The sequence below is a fragment of the Homo sapiens genome, chromosome 1 (genome assembly GCF_000001405.40).
Source record: "Homo sapiens chromosome 1, GRCh38.p14 Primary Assembly".
NCBI lineage: Eukaryota > Metazoa > Chordata > Mammalia > Primates > Hominidae > Homo > Homo sapiens.
Window position 1 is genome coordinate 56,626,677 of NC_000001.11, and position 23,495 is coordinate 56,650,171.

A 23,495-nucleotide genomic window follows, 5' to 3' on the forward strand; every position below is an offset into this window, starting at 1 on the left:
CTATTGCAAAAAATCAGCTGCAAAAATACTTTTCATTTAGATCACAAATACCAGATACTTGAGGAATGAGTCAATATATGTCTTTGTGAAAAGAAGTTTGTATCCCACTGGTGCTTATAAAACATTTCTCAATTTATAAAAGCAGGCTTTCTTGCATGATTTTAGAGTACATAAAACTATTCACCCTGGGAATGGCATAACATCATTTTGGTTTATACAGTTACATGTTTTCTGCCCTCACACACACAGATCTTCAACATTATAATTAATTTTAGAACAGTCTACTTTGAGATAGCCAACTTCCTATAATATTGCAAATATGGTCTAGTGAGAATAGCAGAAGCATATGCAGGATAAATGTTAGTCATAGATGCTTTTAAAGTTTTGGGATCCATTACTAATGTACAATATTGAACAAGAAATATTTCTCAGTTTTTGAACCAGAATCTTGCTACAAATGAGGGAAATTACTCATGTTTGGTATTCTTGCTCTTTTTATTATCGCACATATCCGTGGTATATAGTTATGTAACATTGTAGTCATACAATACTTATTTTTTTTTTTTTTGTGGTCACTGGTACATAGAGAAAACTGTCTGAAGCATTTACTAAGCCTTAAGTTCTATTTTATTAGGGTAAAACAGAGTTTCTGTCCCATCTAAGTTATTTGGGTTGAATTAGAATGATGGCAATAGATTTTATTATAAAAATGACTCACTGTCCTTTTAAATTTTATAATGTAAGAAGAATCATGACAGATCCACAGCTATTAATCACACAAATATATAGACACATAGACATACCTATAGGTTACTGTCTGGCTCCTAAATATTCGCATCTTATGCATACACTCTATTACTAAAAGGTGAAAAAGTAGCTGTGTTAAGGATGACACAATTGTAGCATATTCCACAATCTGTGTATAACATTAGCATCTTTTTGTTTTGAAAGTAAATTCAAACATCCTGCCTTTTGTTTATATTGCTTATGGCTTTTCTTACAGTGTGCTTATAAAGTCAACACTTGTATTAGTCAATGTTTGCTATAGTAAGAAACAACCCCAAGACGTCAGTGGCTTACAATAATAAAGATTTATTTCATGCTTACAGGCCTTTGCGTTGGCTACAGCTTTGCTGGGCTGTATGTGTTTTTGCAGTCCTGGACTGCCTGAGGAAAGCGCTTCTTTTGGTAGAGATCAGAAGCTCAAGAGACCAAGCCAATTCATGCAGGCACATCTAAAACTTCTGCAAGGATGTGGTAAATTACATCTACTGACATTCCATTGGCTAAAGAAAGTCACATGGCCAAGCCTTTTGTTGATGAAGTGACATATATTCTTTCCATGGGGTGGGTGAGGATGTAGGAGAGCAAATATTAGCTGAAAAATAACACAATCTACTATGACTACAGATTAAAAAGCTAAATCATGTGCCTGAGTTGCAAAAAGAGTTAAATACTAAAATGGCATTGTAAATTTAAGGAAATTTTAAATATTTCTTTGGACAACTCCTTGCAAAGAACATGATTGCTTGGGAGCCAGAGTGGAAATTTAGAGAAAGAAATCTAATACATTAATTAAACATAAGATAGCATAAAACAAAAGAGTATTTATGCCTCTTCCGGGCTTCTTTCATACCTTGTGCTTACCTCTATCATTTTACTTGTCATTATGCTTTCTGATTTTTCATTTCTGAGATAAAAATAAAGCTTTTTTTTTTCTTCATATACCCAAGGCCGAGTAAAATCCTTAGCACAGAGTGGGCACTCAATGAATGTTTGTTGAATGACTACATGAATGCATGCATACATAACCCAGAATATATTGTTCTTACTATTCCTTTTTCAGTGCTGAAATTATTTATATTATATAACATGGAAGAACTAACATACTGTATTGGTTTTTTCCTCCCCATTTTCTTTTTCTACCTGAGACTTTTCACTTTTCCTTCCCTCAGTGAGATTATTTGATTTTAAAGAAACAATGTTGAACATTCTCTGTTACATACTGAAGTATTTTCCTGCTAAGCTGTGTGTGTGTGTGTTTGTGTGTGTATGTGTGTGTATAAGACAGAGATCTGTGCAAACAATTTTTATATGTTTAGGAAATATCACTGGAGTACTCACTATTCATTTACTATACTACTGATGAAAATCAGTTCTTGAATTTGTTCTTTCTACATTTATTTCTTTTGTGATTTCCTTACTGGGAATACCTTCAGAGATTGACATCCTGTAGTTATGAGACTGTCAGGAGGACTGTTACTATACTAACACTGTTAAAAACATTTCAATTAGGTTGTATAATGCAGTGCCTTCACAGTAAATAGTAGATAACAATAGAAACGAATGAAAAAGCTGATAATTTTTAAAAAATGGAAATAGTAGAATGCAAACTGTTTTCTATTACCATTCAACACATATAATAAACATTTCAATTTCTATAAAATTATTGCTAAACTCACTTGGCTTAGCTGCGTATTTTTTATAATTTAAATTTCACACTGAAGTCATGAAGTACTTTAAGATGAAGTTCATACAAAATCGCATCTTTCCAGTCATCCAGAAATAGTATAGTGATATCATCTCTACAATTCCCCTTGCTCCTCCAAACCAAGATTTTACAATTCTGTAGTTATAGATAGACTAAGCATGTGTCAAAAGTAGAAAATATTGGCCGGGCGCGGTGGTTCACGCCTGTAATCCCAGCACTTTGGGAGGCTGAGGCGGGTGGATCACAAGGTCAGGAGATGGAGACCATCCTGGCTAAGATGGTAAAACCTCGTCTCTACTAAAAATATGAAAAAAAAAATTAGCCAGGTGTGGTGGTGGGTGCCTGTAGTCCCAGCTACTTGGGAGGCTGAGGCAGGAGAATGGCATGAACCTGGAAGGCAGAGCTTGCAGTGAGCAGAGATCCCGCCACTGTACTCCAGGCTGGGCGACAGAGCAAGACTCTGTCTCCAAAAAAAAAAGTAGAAAAAATTATTTTAATGTGGTTATACAAAAGGAAAAGAGATCTTGAAACTTAATTGTTCATGACAAAACTTCTGAGGACTCAAATGGATGTGATTTCTTAGTGAAGTGTTTAAGTGATGTTGGTTTTTTTTTCCTTATAGGTCAAAATGGAATAACAGTACAGAGACTAGATGAATTATCCAAAAATTGACAAAAAAGCTGTCTTGTTTCATGAAATATCAGATTTGTAATGAATATCCAGAAAATTTAAATTTAGAATCTTAGACATATTATGGAAGAAATAGTAAAATGATTTAAAATAGTTAACATCTGAATTCTCAAAATTTTTGTTTAGTGCAGAAAAGCACTTGGAATATAGTAAGATCAGTTCTTTTTATCTGATTATTGCATTTAGTGGAAGGATTCCATCAGATACAATCTAGGCTAAGACTCGTGACACAAATAATATAGAGCTCCCAACAGCAAAGGAGTGAGAACATGCAAATTCTTGTAGGGATTCATTTTTAATTTATATTTGAAAAATGTTTCTAACAGATGGGAAAAAGTAAGGGACTATTCATAAAACTTTTGGCTTTTTTCCACGAAAATGCTCCATTTATTGAACAGGAAATAAGGTATAGAATATGCTTTTAACCAAACTAGGAATTCATTTCCCCAATTCATAAAGTTATTCATTCCCTCTACAACTAATCTACATATATCTTCATCTGATACCTCTCAATAGATTTGTCTTTAAATAGAGTCCAAGAATAAGTGTTTATGGCACCCTCTTTCAAGAAAGAGGAAAGAGCAATCTCTCTTTTCAATGTCGATAAATGCTAGGTGATGACCAGGTTAAGGATATTACTTGTTGTGACCAAGAAACTTGACAGAGTGGTATGTTCCTGGTTTATCTGATATTATGCCAACTTCAGGTGAAAGCCTAGAGTTTCCTAGGGTGAGTCCAAATTTCATAGAATGAGTTTTGGACTGATGGAGATGATCAAGAAGTTGTTGAGCTTTTCAGATGTTGAATAAAGTAGGAATGGAAAACAGGGCTAAGTATCAAGAATGCAGATTAGACTTAATCAGTAAACTAAGAGGCAAAGTAAGAGGCAAGTGATAAGAGTTAACAACAGGTGTCTATACAACCAATGCTGAGAGCCTTTCCAGCAATAATTCAGAATGGAAGCTGAGTTTGGATTCAAGGAACATAGTCCAATGTTGGGACTTAGAAACATGACATTTGTTAAAGACAGTTTTGATTAATTCTATCTCAAAGAAAAAAAATTCCTCCTTGTCTTCCAGGTTGTTTTCATTAAGAAATTACCACATGACTTAGCTTTTGCCCTGTGGGCATCATAAAGATCCCATTAGATTTTAGAATGGGGTAGTAAAGAAAAGGGCATAAAGGGTGTATAATCACACTCTTATTTTATAAGTCTATGACTCCAAGTGTTTTGTAATAGTCAATGAAAATAGGTAGCAAAAATCCAGTTAACTTCTTTCTTATATAACCAAAGAGAGCTTGGTGAAAGGAATATAATAAGGTGCCATTTAAATTCATGAATTAAAAAGTAAGTAACTTGTTTTAAAATTATTTCATGGGTACAAGTCTTCTCCTTGAGAAGGTAAAAGCCTTGAGGGTGTTGTTCATAGGATAATTCTTTTGTATCTAGCATGTTAGACAATAAAAAATTCTCTTTTTTTTTTTTTTTTTTGAGAAAAAGTCTTGCTGAGTCGCCCAGGCTGGAGTGCAGTGGCACGATCTCGGCTCACTGCAAGCTCCACCTCCCAGGTTCACACCATTCTCCTGCCTCAGCCTCCCGAGTAGCTGGGACTACAGGCGCCCACCACCACACCTGGCTAATTTTTTTTTTCATATTTTTAGTAGAGACGAGGTTTTACCATCTTAGCCAGGATGGTCTCCATCTCCTGACCTCGTGATCCACCCACCTCGGCCTCCCAAAGTGCTGGGATTACAGGTGTGAGCCACTGCGCCCGGCCAAAAAATTCTTGAGGCTTGAATTACATTCTGAAAAACTAGCATTTAGTTTACTAAAAAATATTTCCCCAATGAGTAAACTTTATAGCAAACCAAATTATAATTAACTGAATAAAGCATATTAAAAGAAGTAGATGTTTTATAAAGTGACTTAGAATCAGTACAAAAAAAGAGAATATCTCTCAATTTATTTTTTTATTGTTCCTAAAACATTTGAGAAATATCAGAAAAGCCTTTAAATATACATTTTAAAAATAGAGGAAGATAGGATGATTTCTTTTTATTCTTCATGGGAGCATTTTAAAGCCCCACTTATGAGAATACAGTTGAAGATAGCTTTGACCTCTATTTTTTTTTCCTGGAAAAACTCATGAGAGATGGCATGATAAGCATCTCAGTATACATTATAATTTTTATTACTTCCCTAAGTGTTCCTGAAATTCTACACAATTTATTACGTAATCTATGTTAGTAATCAAGTGAATAAATAATGAAAGAACATAAGAACAGGATTATGGGCTGGGTGCGGTGGCTTGTGCCTGTAATCCCAGCACTTTGGGAGGCTGAACTGGGCAGATCACTTGAGCCCAGGAGTTTGAGACTAGTCAGGCCTATGTGGTGAAACTTCATCTCTGGTAAAAATACAAAAAATTAGCTGGGCATGGAGGTACATACCTGTAATGGAGGCTGAGGCACAAGAATCGCTTGAACCCGGGAGGTGGAGGTTGCAGTGAGCTGAGATCATGCCACTACACTCCAGCCTGGGCAACAAAAAAAGACTCTGTCTCAAAAAAAGAACAGGATTATGGTGGCAATGCCATCTGCATGGTCACTTTGGAACACTGGCAAGGGTACCAAAGTGTCAAATTTGCATGGGGACCTCCTTGAAACATGCGTTGTTCTCTCCCTGCCCCCTTTAGGAGAAGCTTTCTGGGGCACTAGGATGATGATACAAAGAGGAAAACCAAACTGGGGGGAAAAAAAAGCTGCCATCAATTTGGGGGAAAGTGGAAGATGTTCCCTGAGAAGGTGAGAATTACCCAAGTGGCAAAAGAAAGAAGAAAGGCACACTAGACTCGGGCAACTCAATTATGGTTTGCAACAATAACTACTCATCACTGTTTGTGGGTGATATCCCTCATGTGTTGCTCAGCCCGTTTCCTGAGAAATTTGTTGCAGATCCTGCTTCGTAAAGGGCTGTAAAAAGGAATAAAATAATCTTTTTTTTTTAAATTATTTAAAATGTTTTGTTATTTTTCATAGAGAAGGGGTTTCACCGTGTTGCCCAGGCTGGTCTCAAATTCCTGACCTTAAGCCATCCACCTGCCTCGGCCCCCCAAAGTGCTGGGATTGCAGGTATGAGTCATCACGCCTGGCCCCAAATCATCTTTTCAATTGGTAAAGGGTTGTAGGCAATGTGAAGAGAAAACAAAATCCCTTCTCCTAAAGTTTAGGACTTGCAATGAGCGCTGGATGGATGAGCAGAGCCAAGGAACACTGGAAAATGGAAATGAGTATGGGTCACTTGGGTTCCATAGAGAACAGAGAGCAGAATTTTGTAAAACATCAGGAAAAATTCAGTTCCTGCAACATTTCCATTTGTCGCCAAGGCTAGCATGGTCTGGGAAAAAAAGCATAATTTTTCAAAGTAAAGTTATTATTTTATTTGGGATTTAGTTTATGAAGGACAATATTGTGTTCCTCTAGCCCACACAAATAAATTATGCCTGGCCATAAATAGTAATATATTAAATGAGCAAACCAGTTTTGCATAAAAGGCATGGTCTGACTTCCCTGTGGACGTGACAATAGAAATAGCATTCCTTCCTTTTTTAAATTCATTCATCACTACTTAAAGAATGACTATAACGTTGTCATTCTCAGTGGGGCAAGAGGTTGTTATAAATAGAAGCAAGTAATGGTGCAAAAGCAGTAGCTTATTGTTTATTTTGATAAAATAAATCATATCAGATTCTAGGGTGTTGCTTTTTTACCTCTTCCAGTAGGAAAGGGTAGAATGAATCTGAGCACCCTGGAAATTGGTATGGCTGTGTGCTACTCAAGTATAGCAGTACACAAAAAAGGAGAGTTGAGAGCCACAACTGTATAGCAATATAGCGAAGAATAAAAGTTTTCTTGTCCTTGGGCTTTTATAGTCACTCTAAATCAAGAACTGTTCCAGTTCCAGAGAGTGATAATTACTCAAAAGAGAGAAAACTACAGGTAATAGAATTCCAGAGAGAAAGATTAACTCAAGCCAGGAATGATTAGAAAATTCTTCACAAAAGTGGAAAAAGCTGGGCATAATTACATGATGTATGACTTTAAAGGGTAAGGTGGCTCTTTAATTATTAAATAATACTTTCTTAAAACACTTACTGGGTACCCAAGTGGTGGGGATATAAAGATAAACAGGATAAAATCCATGCCCTTGAATATTTTAGGTAGGGGACACATACACCAAAAAAAAAAAAAAAAAAAAAGGAAGAAAAATAATGTCATGGAACAAATACAATGTCATACCACAATATAGTGCTAGAACAGAGGTGATATAGGGCCTCAGAACAATACATAGGAAAAAGCCTTCAGTGCTACCTGGGAAGGGATAGGTAAAATAAGATAAAGTTATTTCTGAGGCTGAGCACAGTGGCTCACATCTGTAATCCCAGCAGTTTGGGAGGCTGAGGTGGGTGGATCACTAGAGGTCAGGAGTTCGAGACAACCATGGCCAACATGGTGAAACCCTGTTTCTACTAAAAATACAAAAAATTAGCCGAGTGTGGTGGTGCTTGCCTGTGGTCCCAGCTACTGTGGAGGCTGAGATGGGAGAATCACCTGAGCCTAGGAGGCGGAGGTTGAACTGAGCCCAGATTGCACCACTGCACTGCAGCCTGGGTGACAGAGCAAGACTCTTTCAAAGAAAAGAAAAAAAAGATATTTCTGAACTGAGATTTCATTCAGTTATTACTCATTAATTTAACTAACATGCATTAAGTGCCTACTATGTTCACAGTGCTTGCTCTCAAGGGATTGATAGTCAAATGGTGGACAAGACATGTAAACAGATAAGTACGATGATGGATTTAATTAAATACCCAAGGTGCACAGCATTATTAAAGATACGGAGGTCAAATGTGTGTGGGAGGTTGTGGAAATGCTTCATAGAGGAGGTGAGTTTTTAAAGATGTGGAGGTATTTGTTAGGCAGATTGTAATGGAGAATATCAAGGATGAAGGAAGTACCAGACAATAAGAGTGGGAGTAAAGGTGCAGTGGCCTGCTCCAACTTGGTGTATACACAGGACTGACAGAAACTTGATATGACTAGAGCTTTGGATAACAAAGATGAGACAAGAAACCAGGTTGGTAGGGACCAGATCATAGAGAGCCTTGAATCCAGACTTAAGGACTTTGATTTTTCTCTGTAGACCAGTAATTTTCAAACTGGAACCCACTACTTCCTTGAGTTTCAAGGAAGTACATTAGGAAGGTGATATGGTTTGGCTGTGTCCCCACAGGAGAGCTCAAATTGTAGCTGCCATAATTCCTATGTGTCATGGGGAGGACCTGGTGGGAGGTAATTGAATCATGAAAATGGCTCTTTCTCATGCTGTTCTTGTGATAGTGAATAAGTCTCATGAAATCCGATGGTTTTATAAAGGGGAGTTCTCCTGCAAATTCTCTCTCTTAACTGCCGCCATGCAAAACATGACTTCGCTCCTCCTTTGCCTTTCACCATGATTGTGAGGCCTCTCCAGTCACATGGAACTGTGAGTCCATTAAACCTCTTTCCTTTATAAATTACCCCATCTCAGGTATGTCTTCATTAGCAGTGTGAGAGTAGACTAATACAGAAGGTAAAGAGCATACCAAAAAGGCAGACTTTTTGGGGGCTGTGAACACTAAGCTAAAGAGTTTTAAACACTAATCTTTAGGTTATGTTAAATTATTGAACACTTTTAAGGAAGGAGGTGATAGGCTACGAACTGTTTTTGAATGATCAATCCATCCACAAGATTTCTGTATCATTCCAGAAATCTGTAAGTCATCCCAAATTGCTTCATTGTTCTTCTAATTAATAACTAAGCAATTGCTAAATCCTATTTATTCTTTCTCCTAAACAATCCTTAAATCCATCCTTTCCCTTCCTTCTTTACTGGGACTACCAGTGGTTCAGGTCCTCATCATTTTTCCCCTTGTCAAATAAAAGAGCGTTTAACTTACTGCTCAGTACTCTTTAGTCAATCCTATATGTAACTTTGTCATATCACTTCTTGCACCATTTTGAAATTTATTAGATTTTTTTTTTTTTGGAAACAGGGTCTCACTCTGTCACTCAGGCTGGAGTTCTGTGGCACAATCATAGCTCACTGCAGCCTGGAACTCCTGGGCTCAAGGGATCTCTCCACCTCAGCCTCCCAAGTTGCTGGGACTATAGTCCTAGCCTCACTTTGTTGCCCAGCCTGGTCTCAAACTCCAGGCCTCAAGTGGTCCTCCTGCCTCAACCTCCCAAGTCTCTAGGATTACGTGCGTGAGCTACCGTGCCCAGCTGAAATTTATTTCTGAAGTGTGTATGTTTTCCATTAGAGTACAAGTTCCTGGAAAACTGATGTGAAAGGTCCTGAAAGACTGTCATTTGGATTCACTGCTAAATGTTCTTCAGTTATTCATTCTCTCTCACACATCAGTTCGTCCTTTTCTATGGATCATACAAGTAGCATACAAACATGCTATACTTTTCCCCATCTTAAAAAATCTACCCTTGTTTCCATATCCTCCATTTGCTGCTATTCCCCTCATAGCAAAACTTAAAAGAATTGTATAGAACCACTTTCTCTATTTCTTCACTTCAATTTTTTCATAAACTCACTTCACTCTGACTTTCATCTCCATCACTCCACTACAAAGTCACTTGTCACAGTCATCATATCCGGTAGTTAACTCTTCACCCACATCTTCCTTGACCTTTGAGTAGCACTGGATACAGTTGATAATAATGTCTTACAATAGCTGAAAATATTCTCTTAAGTTTCCTCTTGGCTTAGTGGATATTTCTTTTCAGGATCCTCTTCCTTTTTTTTTTTTTTTTTTTTTTTTTTTTTTGAGCCAGAGTCTCGCTCTGTCGCCCAGGCTGGAGTGCAGTGGCGCCATCCTGGCTCACTGCAAGCTCCAGCTCCCAGGTTAACGCCATTCTCCTGCCTCAGCCTCCCAAGTAGCTGGGACTACTGGCGCCCGCCACCACGCCCGGCTGATTTTTTGTATTTTTAGTAGAGACGGGGTTTCACCGTGTTAGCCAGCCAGGATGTTCTCGATCTCCTGACTTCATGATCCGCTCGCCTCGGCCTCCTAAAGTGCTGGGATTACAGAAGTGAGCCACCGAGACCGGCCAATCCTCTTCCTTTTATAGGTCTCTAAGTCTGGGATGGTTCAGCCCTGGAGTCTCTTCCTTTTGCTGTCTACATTCACTTCCTAAGGGATCTCCAGTGCTGTGGGATATACGCTAATGATTTTGAAACTTACATTTTGAATTTGGGCCTCTTCCCTGAATGCTGATGATTTTGAAAGTTACATTTTTGAGTCTGGGCCTCTTCACTCTGGTCACAAACTACCTATTTGGTGTGTCCTTTGGGATTGCTATTAAGCATCTCAAACTTCGCATGGTCAGATCAGAATTTTGTCCCGCAACCTCCCTTCTTTTCCCCCAGCTTATTTCTCATAAAGTCTTTGGCACTTCAGTCTATGGCACTCTTATTCATCTCATTGTATGGGCCAAAAATCCAAGTCTTTGATTTCTCTTTTTTGATTCTTTGCACACTTTTCATCTAACCATCACCAAAATTTCTTGATGTTAACTTCAAAATCTTCATGCCAAATCTGAATGCCTCTCACCATTTTCACTGCTACCATCCTAGTATAAGCTACTATCAGCATTCATCTGGTCTACTTCAATAGTCTCTAAATTAGTTTTTTTGTTTACACTTTTGACCCCTTAGACTCTCTTCCACACAACCATCTAGAGCCATCTTTAAGTTTATAATTCATATCGTGTCACTCTCTTGTTCAAAAATTATCAGAATATACTTGACTACACTTTTTTAAAAATCTAAAGGTTTTAATACAGCTTACCCAGTATAATCTAGCTATAGGCATTCTAACCACAAACCCTTTCATCCTCCTCCTTGTCCACACCACTCTGGACACATCAACCTTCTTGTTATTCCACCAATATGCCTTTAGCACTGTCTCAGGACTGCTGTACTTGCTATTCCTTCTGCCTGGAATGCTCTTATCCCAACTATTTCAATGGCTCCTTCCTGCACATAATTCTTAGATGCTACATTCTCAGAAAGACTTTTTGATGACCTATATAAAATGCCTGCCCTCCCCCATCCCCACTTTCATCTCTGTATTCATTTATTCTGCTTTTCCTTCACAGCACTTAACACTAACCTTACATTATATATTTATTTGACTCCTTATTTTCTGGTTCTTACAGTAGAATGCAACAAAACACTTTTTTCTCGACCTAACTCTAGTCAGACTCCTCTGACCCACTAGGTCCTGTCCTTGGGCATGTCTTCAAGAGCCCAGTTTTAGCAAGAATTCTGCTAAGCCAATTTAGCCAAAATTCCCCACCCTCACTACCTGATCACTCTTGATGTCTAACCAAATTTCTCACCCCCACACCATTCCCTGGGTAATAGCTGATCACCCTGGCCTGCCTTCAGCAAGAATCCTGTTAGGTCCGTTTAGCAAATAATTACCCCACCCTCCTAGTAATTTTCCATTCATCAACACATCTTGTCCCTCCTCCTTGGCTATAAATCTCTACTTTTCTTTGTTGTATTTGGAGTTGAGCCCAATCTCTGTCTCCTACTGTAAAACCTCATTGCAGGAGGTCCTATACCTTTCACAATAGTCCCAAATAAAGTCTGCCTTACTGTCTTTAATAAGTGTCATGAATTATTATTTTCTTTAACAAAAACTACCATTATAAGTAGTAAATAAGATAGGTTATACTATCTGTTTTGTTCATTGCTACATTCCCAGTGCCTAGAAGAGTAGTGTGCCACTCAGTAGGTATTCAATATATCTTTGTTCAATGAATGAATGTACTTAGAACAAAGCAATGATATACTCCGAGAATCTAGAAATCTTTTGTCTGTGGAATAGCTAGTTGTGTAACAATTTAAAAACATTTCAATATTTTAAAAGTAGAAGGTGAAAAGTTTATTACTTAATGCTTTTAAAACTATTAACAGAATTTTACAGAATTGAAACCCCAGAGTCTTGAAAGGGCACCTAGTCTAAGCCTATATACAAATTAAAAAAAGAAATTGAATTATCTGATTTTTTTAAGGTCCTTATTCTTGAAAGGAGAATTAGTTTATTATTTATAGAGCATTTAGAACTTGAAATTACCTATTTATCTTAAGTTTGCATTAATCATGTCAAAGCTTAATAGTTAATGTTAACGGGATTGTGCCAACAGCCAAAGCATTAACACCCACTTGAGGTCATTAAAAGAGTATTATAAAAGGCTTCAAATAATGGTATATTACACAGTTTTGTCAAGGGGTGTTTTAATTCCAACGGACAGCCATAACAGAGATGATAATCAACTCAAGGTGACACTGGTATCTCCTTACTCCAACTTCACCAGTTCAAAAGTATTCAGTACAGATAGTCACTGAATCCATGCCAAGAGGGAAATAATTGATTTAACTGATCTAAAAGTGTGTTTGAGCTTTTTTTCAGACAAACTGTCAACACACACATGAAAGCAAGATTCTAAAAGTGCTGTCAGATCCATAATGTTTATACAGCAAAGCAAACAACCTTTGTTATTCCAATTAATGCATTTGCTCATGAAGGAAGTCTGATCCAAAACGTTTTATTTTTTCTCAGCTGCACTGAAAATTATAATGTTGACTCATATTGAAGCAATTTAGAAATGTACTCAGCCACAAAATGAAAATGGATTAAGTATAATATTTGTTACTAGGGTACCTGCTAAAAATAACATCTCAAAATTATTTATTACATTTCCTTTAAAGGGTTTCAAGTATTGTCACGTGTATCTACTTATCTCTTTGAAGGGGGCTAGGCCCATAATAGTATTCTCTTAAACTTACAAACCAATGATGATAAATATTAGGAGATAAACTGTGTATAGGGAAAATAATGTGGCAAGATCAGTTTGTTGAGATACCTTGGATGGTGACCTACAATACTTTACAGTAATTACTCTATCTTTTTCCCTCTATTGTTTAACTCTAAAACAGGGAGTGGAGTTTGGGAGTTGAATGTCCCAACACCTGACAGGTACTTTAGTACTTTATAGTCTAGTTCAACACTATTAGTTTTACCAATAAGAAGTGAAATGATCTGTTTAAGGACACATTGCTAAGAGGCTAAGATGGAACATGAACTCAGGATATATATGTACATGTACATATACAAATATATACACATAGATAATATATAGAGAGAGTATATGTACGTATATATACACATATATACGTACATATATACATACATACATACATATATGTATATACATGTATACACACATATTTAATTATACATATAATTTTGAGACAAGGTCTTGCTCAGTTGCCCAGGCTGAAATGCAGTGCTGTGATCTTGGCTTACTGCAATCTCTGCCTCCCAGGCTCAGGTGATCCTCCCACCTCAGCCTCCCTAGTAGCTGGGACTACAGGCGCACTCCACCAGTCCAGTTATTTTTTTGTACAGACACATTTTCACCATGTTGCTCAGGCGGGTTTCGAACTCCTGGACTCAAGAGATCCACCTGCCTCGGCCTCCCAAAGTGTTGGGATTTCAGGTGTGAGCCATTGCACCAGGCCATGATTTTTTATTCCAAATACTGAGCTTTCTCTACTACCTCTTGTGATCATGAATAATTATTGAGATAAATCCAACAAGATCGGGATATTCAACAGTTAAAATAATTCAATGTTTCAACTAATAGATGACATTTTTAAAAAAGAGTGGGAAGGGAAAACACTACATATTAAAAGAGATGTATTGACAAAATGGTAAGTGTGACTTTTTTGATCCTGATGAGCATAAACCAACTGTAAAACTACATTCCTGAGACAATCAAGGGATATTCACCACAGAGTGGGTATTTCATAACAGTAAGGAATTAGTGCTAATTTTGTTAGATATGTTAGTAGTAGTATGGTTGTGTTAAAAAGAAGTGCTTATCTGTTAGACCTATATACTGAAGTATTTGCCAGTGAAATAATCTGCTTATTTACTTTAACATACTCCTGAAAATAAATTTTAAAAGTGCAGAGATAGATGGGTAAATGATGACAATTGTTGATCATCACAGATGCTAAGGTTATTTATGTTACTCTACTTTTGTGTATGTTTGAAGTTTTTCACACAAAATTTTAAAAATGTAATTATTGAGCTTGTACTTCCTATAAAATACCATAAACATCCTTTATTATTCATTGAGTGTCCAAATTTTTTATTTTAAATTGGAGACAGCCATAGAAGCCCTATATCATGAATCTATAGACTTCAAAGGTGCTAACTCATGCCTCTCTAACCTCACTAATGACTGCTGTGCTGAGATGTAAAATTATGCTTTGCCTTTAATATGTGTATACATAAAATAAAACTGCACTCTTCCCTGTATTGTTGTTACTTGATTCTCTAGCTTAGTAACTAACCCTTTCTAAAATTCAATTTAGCAAATATTTTTGGAATGATATACCAGGTTCCACTAGGCCCCAGAAACAGCAAGTGGGGTATGAACATATCATTTGCATATATAATATGTAAATATAAATACATATATGTATCTATCTATATGTATGTATAATGTATATGATAATAGAATTGATAAATTCTATATTAGCTATATTAAACATGTACAATGGAAAACCTAAAAAGAAACATGTGATGAAAAACTTAATGAATCATGCTTAATGTCAGAATTATCTTTCTATTCTATTTAAAAATTTACAAAATATAAAGAGGTAATCAAAGAGTATACAGCCAGAAAATGTAGAAAACAGGTATTATAGAGGTATGTTAGATAATTAATTTATAAAAATATTGTTATTTGTCTGGATTTGGGGATGTTTGTGGCATTTGTCAGCTTTTATAAATTTGTAGAGAGTTGTTTTTCACTTCAAATTCTCACTTTCATACCCAATTTTGCATTTTTTTTTTCCCTTAAAGAGATTCCCCCACACTGAATAAACTTCAGGTGCCACATTCTGAATCTGCTTGGATATCTATATTTTGTCAGGCATTGTCCCGGGAGCTAAGGATACATCAGTGAACAAAATAGAGAAAAAAGGCCTCTCTTCTTTTGTGAAGTTTAGATTCTAATTGGGAGAAACAGACAAAAATATAATAAGCACATAAATTAAATAGTATGTTACATGGCTAGTGCTATGTAAAAAAGTTGAGGAGGGTCAGGGGATGAGAGTGCAGGGCAGAGAGCATGAGTGAGATAAAACTGCAATTTAGGCCTGGTGCGGTGGCTCACGCCCATAATCTCAGTACTTTGAGAGGCTGAGGCAGGACAATCACTTGAGTCCAGGAGTTTGAGACCAGCCTGGGTAACATGGCGAGACCCTGCTTCTAAAAAAAAAAAAAAAAAAAAAAAAAAATTTAAAAAAAATTACAAAAAAAAAAAAAAAAAAGAAACTGCAACTTAAATAGGGTGGCCAGGGTAGGGTTCACCAAGAAGGTGACTGTGAGCAAAGACTTGAAATAATTGGTTACTGATAATACCAATGGTGTCTAGTACAGTATATTAGTTTAGTGGTCTTGCATTAATGTCCTACTCAGGACTTATTTTAGAATATTTGAAGGTAAAACAACCCCAAAGTTTCAGAAGCAGGAGGGTAAAGCAGCAATAGTTGGACCAGCGCTAAGAACTGAACACCTCCCTGGGGCACTGGTCTTAGAGATTGGTACTAAACAATAGCGGCGTGAAACCTTCATTGGAAGATAATAAAATGGGAACATTGCATTTACCAGGTCATCTTTAGGGGTGAGACCTCCAAGAGGCATGACCCTTAAGGAGATCTACTCTGATTAACTGTCGAGTTTTCTACTGCTGAATAGGAAGAGGCAAATATGGAACCTTATCTTGAAGTGTCCAGGACAACAGAGGGCTGAGTACTGCCACCAAGAGTTGTCCTTCTTACCCACTTACCATTCAACCTTTCCTCTAAATAAAAGTCAGAAAAACAACAAAAAGTAGTTTAAATACTTACAAATTTATAGGATATATTATTGGACTGCCCAAGAAATAATAAAAATATGAAAATGGAACCACAACTGTGACAATTTTTAACTTTCTTAGAGCACCATACTTTCTTTTGGCATAGGCAGCTGCGGTATAGTAGGCAGACTGAAGGACAAGTCAGAACTGGATATGAGTTCTGACTCTGCCACTTTTTAGCCCTGGGCAAATCAGAAAGGGAAAAACTAAGTTTTATCATCTATAAAATGGGAATAATAATCTTTCTTTTATGACAATTAAATAATTGTGTTTAAATGAACTTCTTAATCAACAAAGTATCATAGATGTTTCACATAGTAACAAAACTATAAGGTAGTCCACAGTAGCTATGTAAGAATCATAGTTATGAAGTATATAATAATTTAACTTACAGTATTTATCAACAAATAGTTAAGACAGTACGAAATGCTTTGAAATCTCAATTTACAGTTAGTCTTTATGTAGCTTCAAGAAAGCAATCATCTAACTTCAAGTGAAGACTTTTCAACATCTTTTAACGGGATATTAGAGCAGAAGACATATACATCTCATACCTCAAAAGCAGAATAGGTCTTTTCTTACTCACTTGACTACTGAAGGAATGACCCTTAACCAGATGAAAGTTCAGCACAAAAATAACTGGCTATTTTCTCAAAATTGCCAGCGAGGTAGAGTGATTCCTAGATGATACTTGTCAGCAAGAAAGATGATCTGAAGAATGAACAAAAATAGCCTCTGTTTAACAGCTGTGATATCTATAATTTATAAGCTGTGATCATCTCTCATCAGATTGTCTTGATGTTTGGATGAGAATGAATGTTTGAAATTTCTATATTTAGTACTTATCAGAAAACAAAGTTTTGTTGTGTCCTATTCTTTTTGATCAATACATTTCAATTTACATATAAACAGTGTTCAAGAGACTTCATGTTTGAGGAATGTGACCTTGAAACTCTACTGGCATGCAGTGCTATAAATGTTTGACTAATCCTTAATTACTTATCCCCAAACAGAATTTTTTTTTACTGTTTTAAAATTTTTTATTTCATTGGCAAATAAAAATTGTATATATTTAGTATGTATATGTTTTGAAATATATTGATTGTGGAATGGCTATAAGTCAAGCTAATTAACAAACATATTGTATACGAATCTTTTTGTGTGTGTGGTGAGAAGCAAATAAACTTTAATCACTGAAAGACAGAACAACATTAAAGAATGAGACAACATTAAAGGAAGGAAGGAAGGAGGGAAGGAAGGGCGGGAGAGAAGGAAGAGAGGCAGAGATAATCGCTTTATTACCTAATTCTTTGCCAGTCTTTTTTCTTTTTTTTTGTGGGGGAGGGTGGGGAGGTCAGTCTTTGAACACGCTGCCTAGGCATCATGCTTCTAATTTCCTCTTACCACTCTTTTCACTTCTATATCACATTTATTCTTCCTTTAATATGTGACCTTATACTGGCCTCGCCCTTCACAATTCCTCTGTCGCTTACGTATTTTACTTTCTGTGGGCAGAACATTGTTTCCCTTTCCACGTCTTTCCCATTTCCTTCTTGTACAGCTGTATCACATTTCGGTACTATATGTTTATATAAGCGCGTGGTAAAACTACATATTTATATAAGCATGTGCTAAAAAACACTCGAGCAAATACCGTGACTGAGATTTTTTGGAAAACTGTGGGCAAATTAGTTAAAATTGAGAGCTCTGGCGGAGAGGGTCTCTTCCATCTATAGGACAAAATAATTGGGAATTACAGAATAAGTAGAGGAGGACAATTCAAGAGAGCACAGAGCTGCGTGCATTCTCCCTGTGCCGCGACCTGTATCCAAAAGCCTCAGACGAGACTTGAGGAGCTTCCTAGAGGCTCTCCTGCCACTGCCCCTTTGGCCAGGGCCCTTCCCGCAGTCTCCCCTCCCGATTCTTCCCTTTTACAGCCCCTCGCTCCCGACATGCGAGGCCCGTCTCTTCTTCCAGTTTGACTTCCAAGTCTTTCCATTCCCTAGGATCGGGCCCCAGTCTCACCCCCTATTTTCACCCCCTTCGGTTTTCCTCAGAAAGGGCCTCCTGCCTCCCTCGGCACCCTCGCCTACCCCCCTCGCAGCACCTGTCGCCTCCGCCCCTCACTCGGACCCCGCGCATCTGGCGCAGCCCCTCCCGCACTCCCGCCCAGCGCCCCGCGTCCCCGGCCCCCGCTGTCGCTGCTTCGGGTTCCGCCGCAGGAGCCTCTCACTCCCGGGAGCGGGCGCCTCGCGCTCCCTCCCTCGGCCCCGCCCCGCCCGCCGCTCGCCCGTTGCTTCCCACCTGGGCCCGAAGCGCCCAGCGCCCTCTCCCGGGACCCCGCGCCCGCCCCGCGCCCCTCGCGGCTCGGGGTCCGCCCCCTCGCCCGCAGGGCCCGCTGCACTGTGGGTAGGCGGCGGCGGCGGCGGCTACGCGGAGCGGCAGGCGGTGGAGCGAGGCCGCGCGCGCCGAAGATGGCTGAGAAGCAGAAGCACGACGGGCGGGTGAAGATCGGACACTACGTGCTGGGCGACACGCTGGGCGTCGGCACCTTCGGCAAAGTGAAGAGTTGAGTACGCGCTCCGGACCGCTGTGCGGGGCTGCCTGACTTGCGGGAGGCCGAGGGGAGAGGCGGGAGCCCCGGGCCTCCGGCGGGCGCGGGGCTCGGCGGCAGGTGGAGCGGTCCCGGGTCGCGCGGAGCTGGGGCCCCGGGAGGGTGGCGCGCACCGCCTCGCCTGGCACCGGCGCCCGGGCCCCACAGGGTCCAGGGAAGAGGGCGGGGGTGTGAGCTGAGGATGGGCGTCCTGGGTTCCAGGTTCCGCGCCCATCTGCCTTTCTGGAGGTCGGAGCAAGGCACTTCTGTGTTCTCTGGACCTCAGTGTCCTCCTCTGCAAAATCGGGAGAACTGGACTCGTTCTGCGAGGCGCCTTCCAGCTCTGAGCCTGTAGGCTTAGGGCGGGGATCATCCACGCTACTGAGGACTGAGGCGCCGTTTCGTGCCGGGTGCCCTGTTAGGTGCTTTACATGGAATCTCATTGAATCCTCACAGTGACTTGGTCAACATGTTGTCCTCACCCTAAAGGTGAGAAAACTAGGACCCCTAGAGATGTAGTAACAAGCCCAAGGTCACACAGAAATGGTCAGTACCAGAGTGAAGTCTAAGATGTCCTCCAATTCTGGTCTTGCTGGGAGGTCCCTGCCATCCCCAGATTCCTTCACGTTCCAGGACTCTCGGTTGTTGGGGGTGACTGTTTGGGGGATGCTCCAGGGGCCAGAGGTTGTGAGTCTTTCTTCCTGGGGTGTTGTTTAACGCTGGAATGCAGCTGGATTGGGTCAGAGGTTAATTAAAACAGAGAGGTCTGAAGGTGTTTGTGTTTGTAAAATGGCTATGGGAAGACTTCTAGGGTAAGGGAGAGAAAAAGTTTCCTTGGTGTTTGGAGGATTTGAGGCTGAGGAGGTCAGGACTGCTAAGGCATATTCTGCTAAGGTCTGTCTTCATGGAGATAGGATCCCCTTTTGAATGTAGAAAAACAGGCTGCTTTTGAAATGTTATACTTTATTCGAGTTAAGTAACTAGTAAGAATAGTTAAGTATGGAACTTTCATTTGTTTTCTTTTTTGTTAATTAGTCACATGTGATTTAATTAACCTGCCTTCTCTCCAGAATAGAGACAGTTGTTTATTAAAAATACTTTGTTGCAAATCCAGAATTATAAGTGAAATATTGACCTTTATTTTTTCTCTTTGCTGAAGAAATGCTGGGTAGGCAGTCTGGAAATTTTATTCTGAGGTCTCTATTTCCTTGTAAAATTCATATTTTAACCCCAAGTCAAGGCTGTTGAATGAGTAGAAGAGACTCATTTTTCATTCCTTTGGTAAGAATCAGCTCCTGTTTTCTTGCACATATTTAATACTCATTCATGTGTTCAAAAAACGCTGAGCACCTGCAACGTGGTAGGCACTGTTCTAGGCAATGAGGATACAGCAAGGAAAAAACAGATCTTTTTGTTTAGCTTTCTAGTAGGAGAAGGCAGACAGTAATCAGAATATATATGTAAAAGGTATGTTTAATTTTATTGAGAAAAACGAATCAGGGAAGGGAAGATAGAGAGTCTTGTGAGGTTGGCAGTTTTCAATAAGGTGGTCAGACAAGGTGGTATTTTTGCAAAGACCTAAAAAGTTTGTAAAATTCTTTGCTGTCCTGTGAGGGTTATAAAGTCCTGGGTTATTTTTGAAAGACCTTATAAGTAGAGTGGATAGTTAGAATGTATTTAAGATGAATACAGGACAATCCAGGGATTGGATTAATGCCTGTAATGTTACTTGTCATTTAGTATTATTATTAAGGACTATTGTGTTACAACATTATACAGTTGCTCAAGCAAACAGCGCCTTTGACATTTGGACATGTACACACAAAGTTATATAACTTAACCCTATGTCCTTTCATATTGTGTTAAAAGTTTTTGCTTGTCTTTTTAAGTTCATATACTGTAATCTGAATGTAGAGTAGAATACTCATCAGATCAATCAGTCCATTGCCAAAGACAACTTAAATCTCTTGTATGTACTTTTGAATTGTTTCCAGGCACTGGCTTCTTAAAATATAAACAGAAAGAACTTTGATTTATGAGAAATTCTTTTCCTGGAGAACCTCTGTCCAATGAACAACCAGTTGAAGGAGTTTTCCTAACACTGTGTTAGATCCTCTCAAAAGTGATACCATGGTTTCCTATCCAAGATTAGGATTAGTACAATTGTTACTCATATAATTCTTCAAGGGACAAGCGAAACAAAAAGTCATGTTTTTTTTTTTTGTTAGAAAACAGCTTTATGGTTGGGCACTGTGGCTCACACCTGTAATCCCAGCACTTTGGGAGGCTGAGGCGGGCGGTTCAATTGAGGTCAGGAGTTTGAGACCAGCCTGGCCAACATGGCGAAACCCCATGTCTACTAAAAATACAAAAATTAGCCAGGCGTGGTGGTAGGCGCCTGTAATCCCAGCTACTGAGGAGTCTGAGGCAGGAGAATCACTTGGACCCGAGAGGCAGAGGTTGCAGTGAGCCAAGATTGCATCACTGCACTCCAGCTTGGGCGGCAGAGCAAGACTCCATCTCAAAAAAAAAAAAAGAAAAGAAAAGAAAACAACTTATTTAGGTATATTTTATATATGAAATTCATCCATTCTAAGTGTACAATTCAGTGATTTTTACTAATTTTGCCAAATGTTGCAACCATCATTATAGATAGGTTTTAGGACATTTGAGGACACCACAGTAAGATTCTTTATACCCATTCACAGTTAATCTCATTTCTACCCTCAGTCCCAGGAAATCACTAATCTGTTTTCTGCCTGTATAAATTTGCTTTTTCTAGGCTCTTCTTCATAAACGTGATCGTTCAATATGTCATCTTTTGTGTCGAGCTTCTTTAACAATGCTTTTGAGATTCATGCATGACATAGCATGTGCCATTAATTTGTTCCTTTTTATAGTTGAATAATATTCCATTGTGTGGATATGCCACATTTTGTCTATACAAAACCAGTTGATGGTCATGGTTTCAAGTTTTGGGCTATTATAAATAATGGCACTACGAATATTCACATGTAAGTCTTTGTGTGGACATATGTTTTCATACACCTTGGGTAAATAACTAGAAGTAGAATTGCTGGGTCATATCGTAGTTTTATGTTTTACTTTTTGAGAAACTGCAACACTTTCCCAAAATGGTCACACCATTTTATAACATTCCCATCAAAGATGTATGAAAGTTCCCTTTTCTGAGTATCTTTGCCAACATTTGTTATTGTCTGCCTGATTTATTATAGCCATTCTAGTGGGTGCGAAATAGTATCTCATTGAGGCATTAATTTTGCGTTTCCCTAAGGACTAATGATGTTGAACATTGTCTCACGTAATTACTAGTCATTTATGTATTTTCATTGATGGAATGTCTGTTTATATCTCTTGCTTATTTTCTAATTGGGTTACTTGTCATCTTATAAGTTGAGTTGTGAGGATTCTTTGTAAATTGTGGATACAGATCCTTTAATGGATATATTTTGCAAATATTTTCTTCCAGTCTGTTGTGTCTTTTCATTTTCTTGTGTCTTTTGAAGTATAAAAGTTTTGAATTTTCATGAGGTCCAATTTATTAGTTTTTAAAATTATTTTATGGACTATGCTCTTGATGTCATAGGCAAGAAATCTTTGCCTAGCCCAAGTCTCAAAGATTTTCTTTTATGTTTTCTTGTAAATATTTTATTATTTTAGCCCTGATGTTTAACTATGTGATCTATTTTGAGTTAATTCTTATGTATGGTGTGAGATGAGGTTGTAAGGTTAACTTTTTCCATGTGGATAACCAATTGTCTCAGCAGTTTTTGTTGAATGCAGGTGCATTTTTAATTGTTGTAGATTTTAGACATTGCAAAATGAATTTCTACTAAAAAAGCTAATAGGAGATGATGTAATTTTAAAAGCTTGGCCAGGTGTGGTGGTCCATGCCTGTAATCCTAGCACTTTGGGTGACCAAGGCAGGAGGATCCCTTGAGCCCAGGGGTTCAAGACCAGCCTGGGCAGCATAGGGAGACCCTGTCTTTGATTGATTGATTGATTGATAGAAAGATAGATAGATAGATAGATAGTTAGATAAATGGTTATAAAAACATGGAAATGGAGAAGTAAGGAACATTTTATGTGCTTTCTCTCTTGACTTTTTTCCTTTTTCTTATTTGTTTATTAATTAGTTTTTTTTAGGGACTATGTTGACCAGGCTGTTCTCAAACTTGTGGCCTTAAGCAGTCTATCTGCCTCAGCCTCACAGTGTTGGGATTACAAATGTGTCCCACCATGCCCAACTTTGACTGTTATGCTAATTATAGATTTAGAAATTTTAGGCCAGGCACGGCGGCTCACGCCTGTAATCCCAGCACTTTGGGAGGCCGAGGTAGGTGGATCACTTGAGGTCAGGAGTTTGAGAACAACCTGGCTAACATGGTGAAACCTCATCTCTACTAAAAATACAAAAATTAGCCAGCTGTGATGGTGCGCGCCTGTAATCCCAGCTACTTGGGAAGCTGAGGCAGGAGAATCACTTGGACCCGGGAGGCGGAAGTTGCAGTGGGCCGAGATTGTGCCACTGCACTCCAGCCTGGGTGACAGAGCGAGACTCCGTCTTAAAAAAAAAAAGAAATAAAGAAATTTTAACTTCAGTTGTTGATATATCAATTTATGGACCAAAGTTAGGGACAAAAA

At 38.6% G+C, this 23,495-nt stretch overlaps 1 protein-coding gene and 1 long non-coding RNA gene across 3 annotated transcripts in view; one reads left to right on the forward strand and one right to left on the reverse strand.

The window, feature by feature from the left end:
* Positions 1-1,114: 1,114 nt before the first annotated feature.
* On the reverse strand, positions 1,115-18,642 carry LOC101929935 (uncharacterized). The gene is made up of 3 exons (NR_135111.1): positions 18,542-18,642; positions 16,824-16,948; positions 1,115-1,378 (listed from the first exon to the last, which is right to left on the reverse strand). It is a non-coding gene; the product is annotated as an uncharacterized LOC101929935 (long non-coding RNA).
* PRKAA2 (protein kinase AMP-activated catalytic subunit alpha 2) overlaps positions 18,638-23,495 on the forward strand; it is a 70,022-nt gene continuing 65,164 nt past the window's right edge. The window contains exon 1 of one of the 2 annotated variants that reach the window (NM_006252.4): positions 18,638-18,805. In NM_006252.4, the coding sequence (NP_006243.2) occupies positions 18,712-18,805 (94 nt within the window). In that variant the 5' untranslated portion in view covers positions 18,638-18,711. Of the gene's footprint in view, positions 18,806-19,076; positions 19,320-23,495 lie in introns of those variants that run through there. The other variant, XM_017001693.2, reaches the window with a different exon arrangement.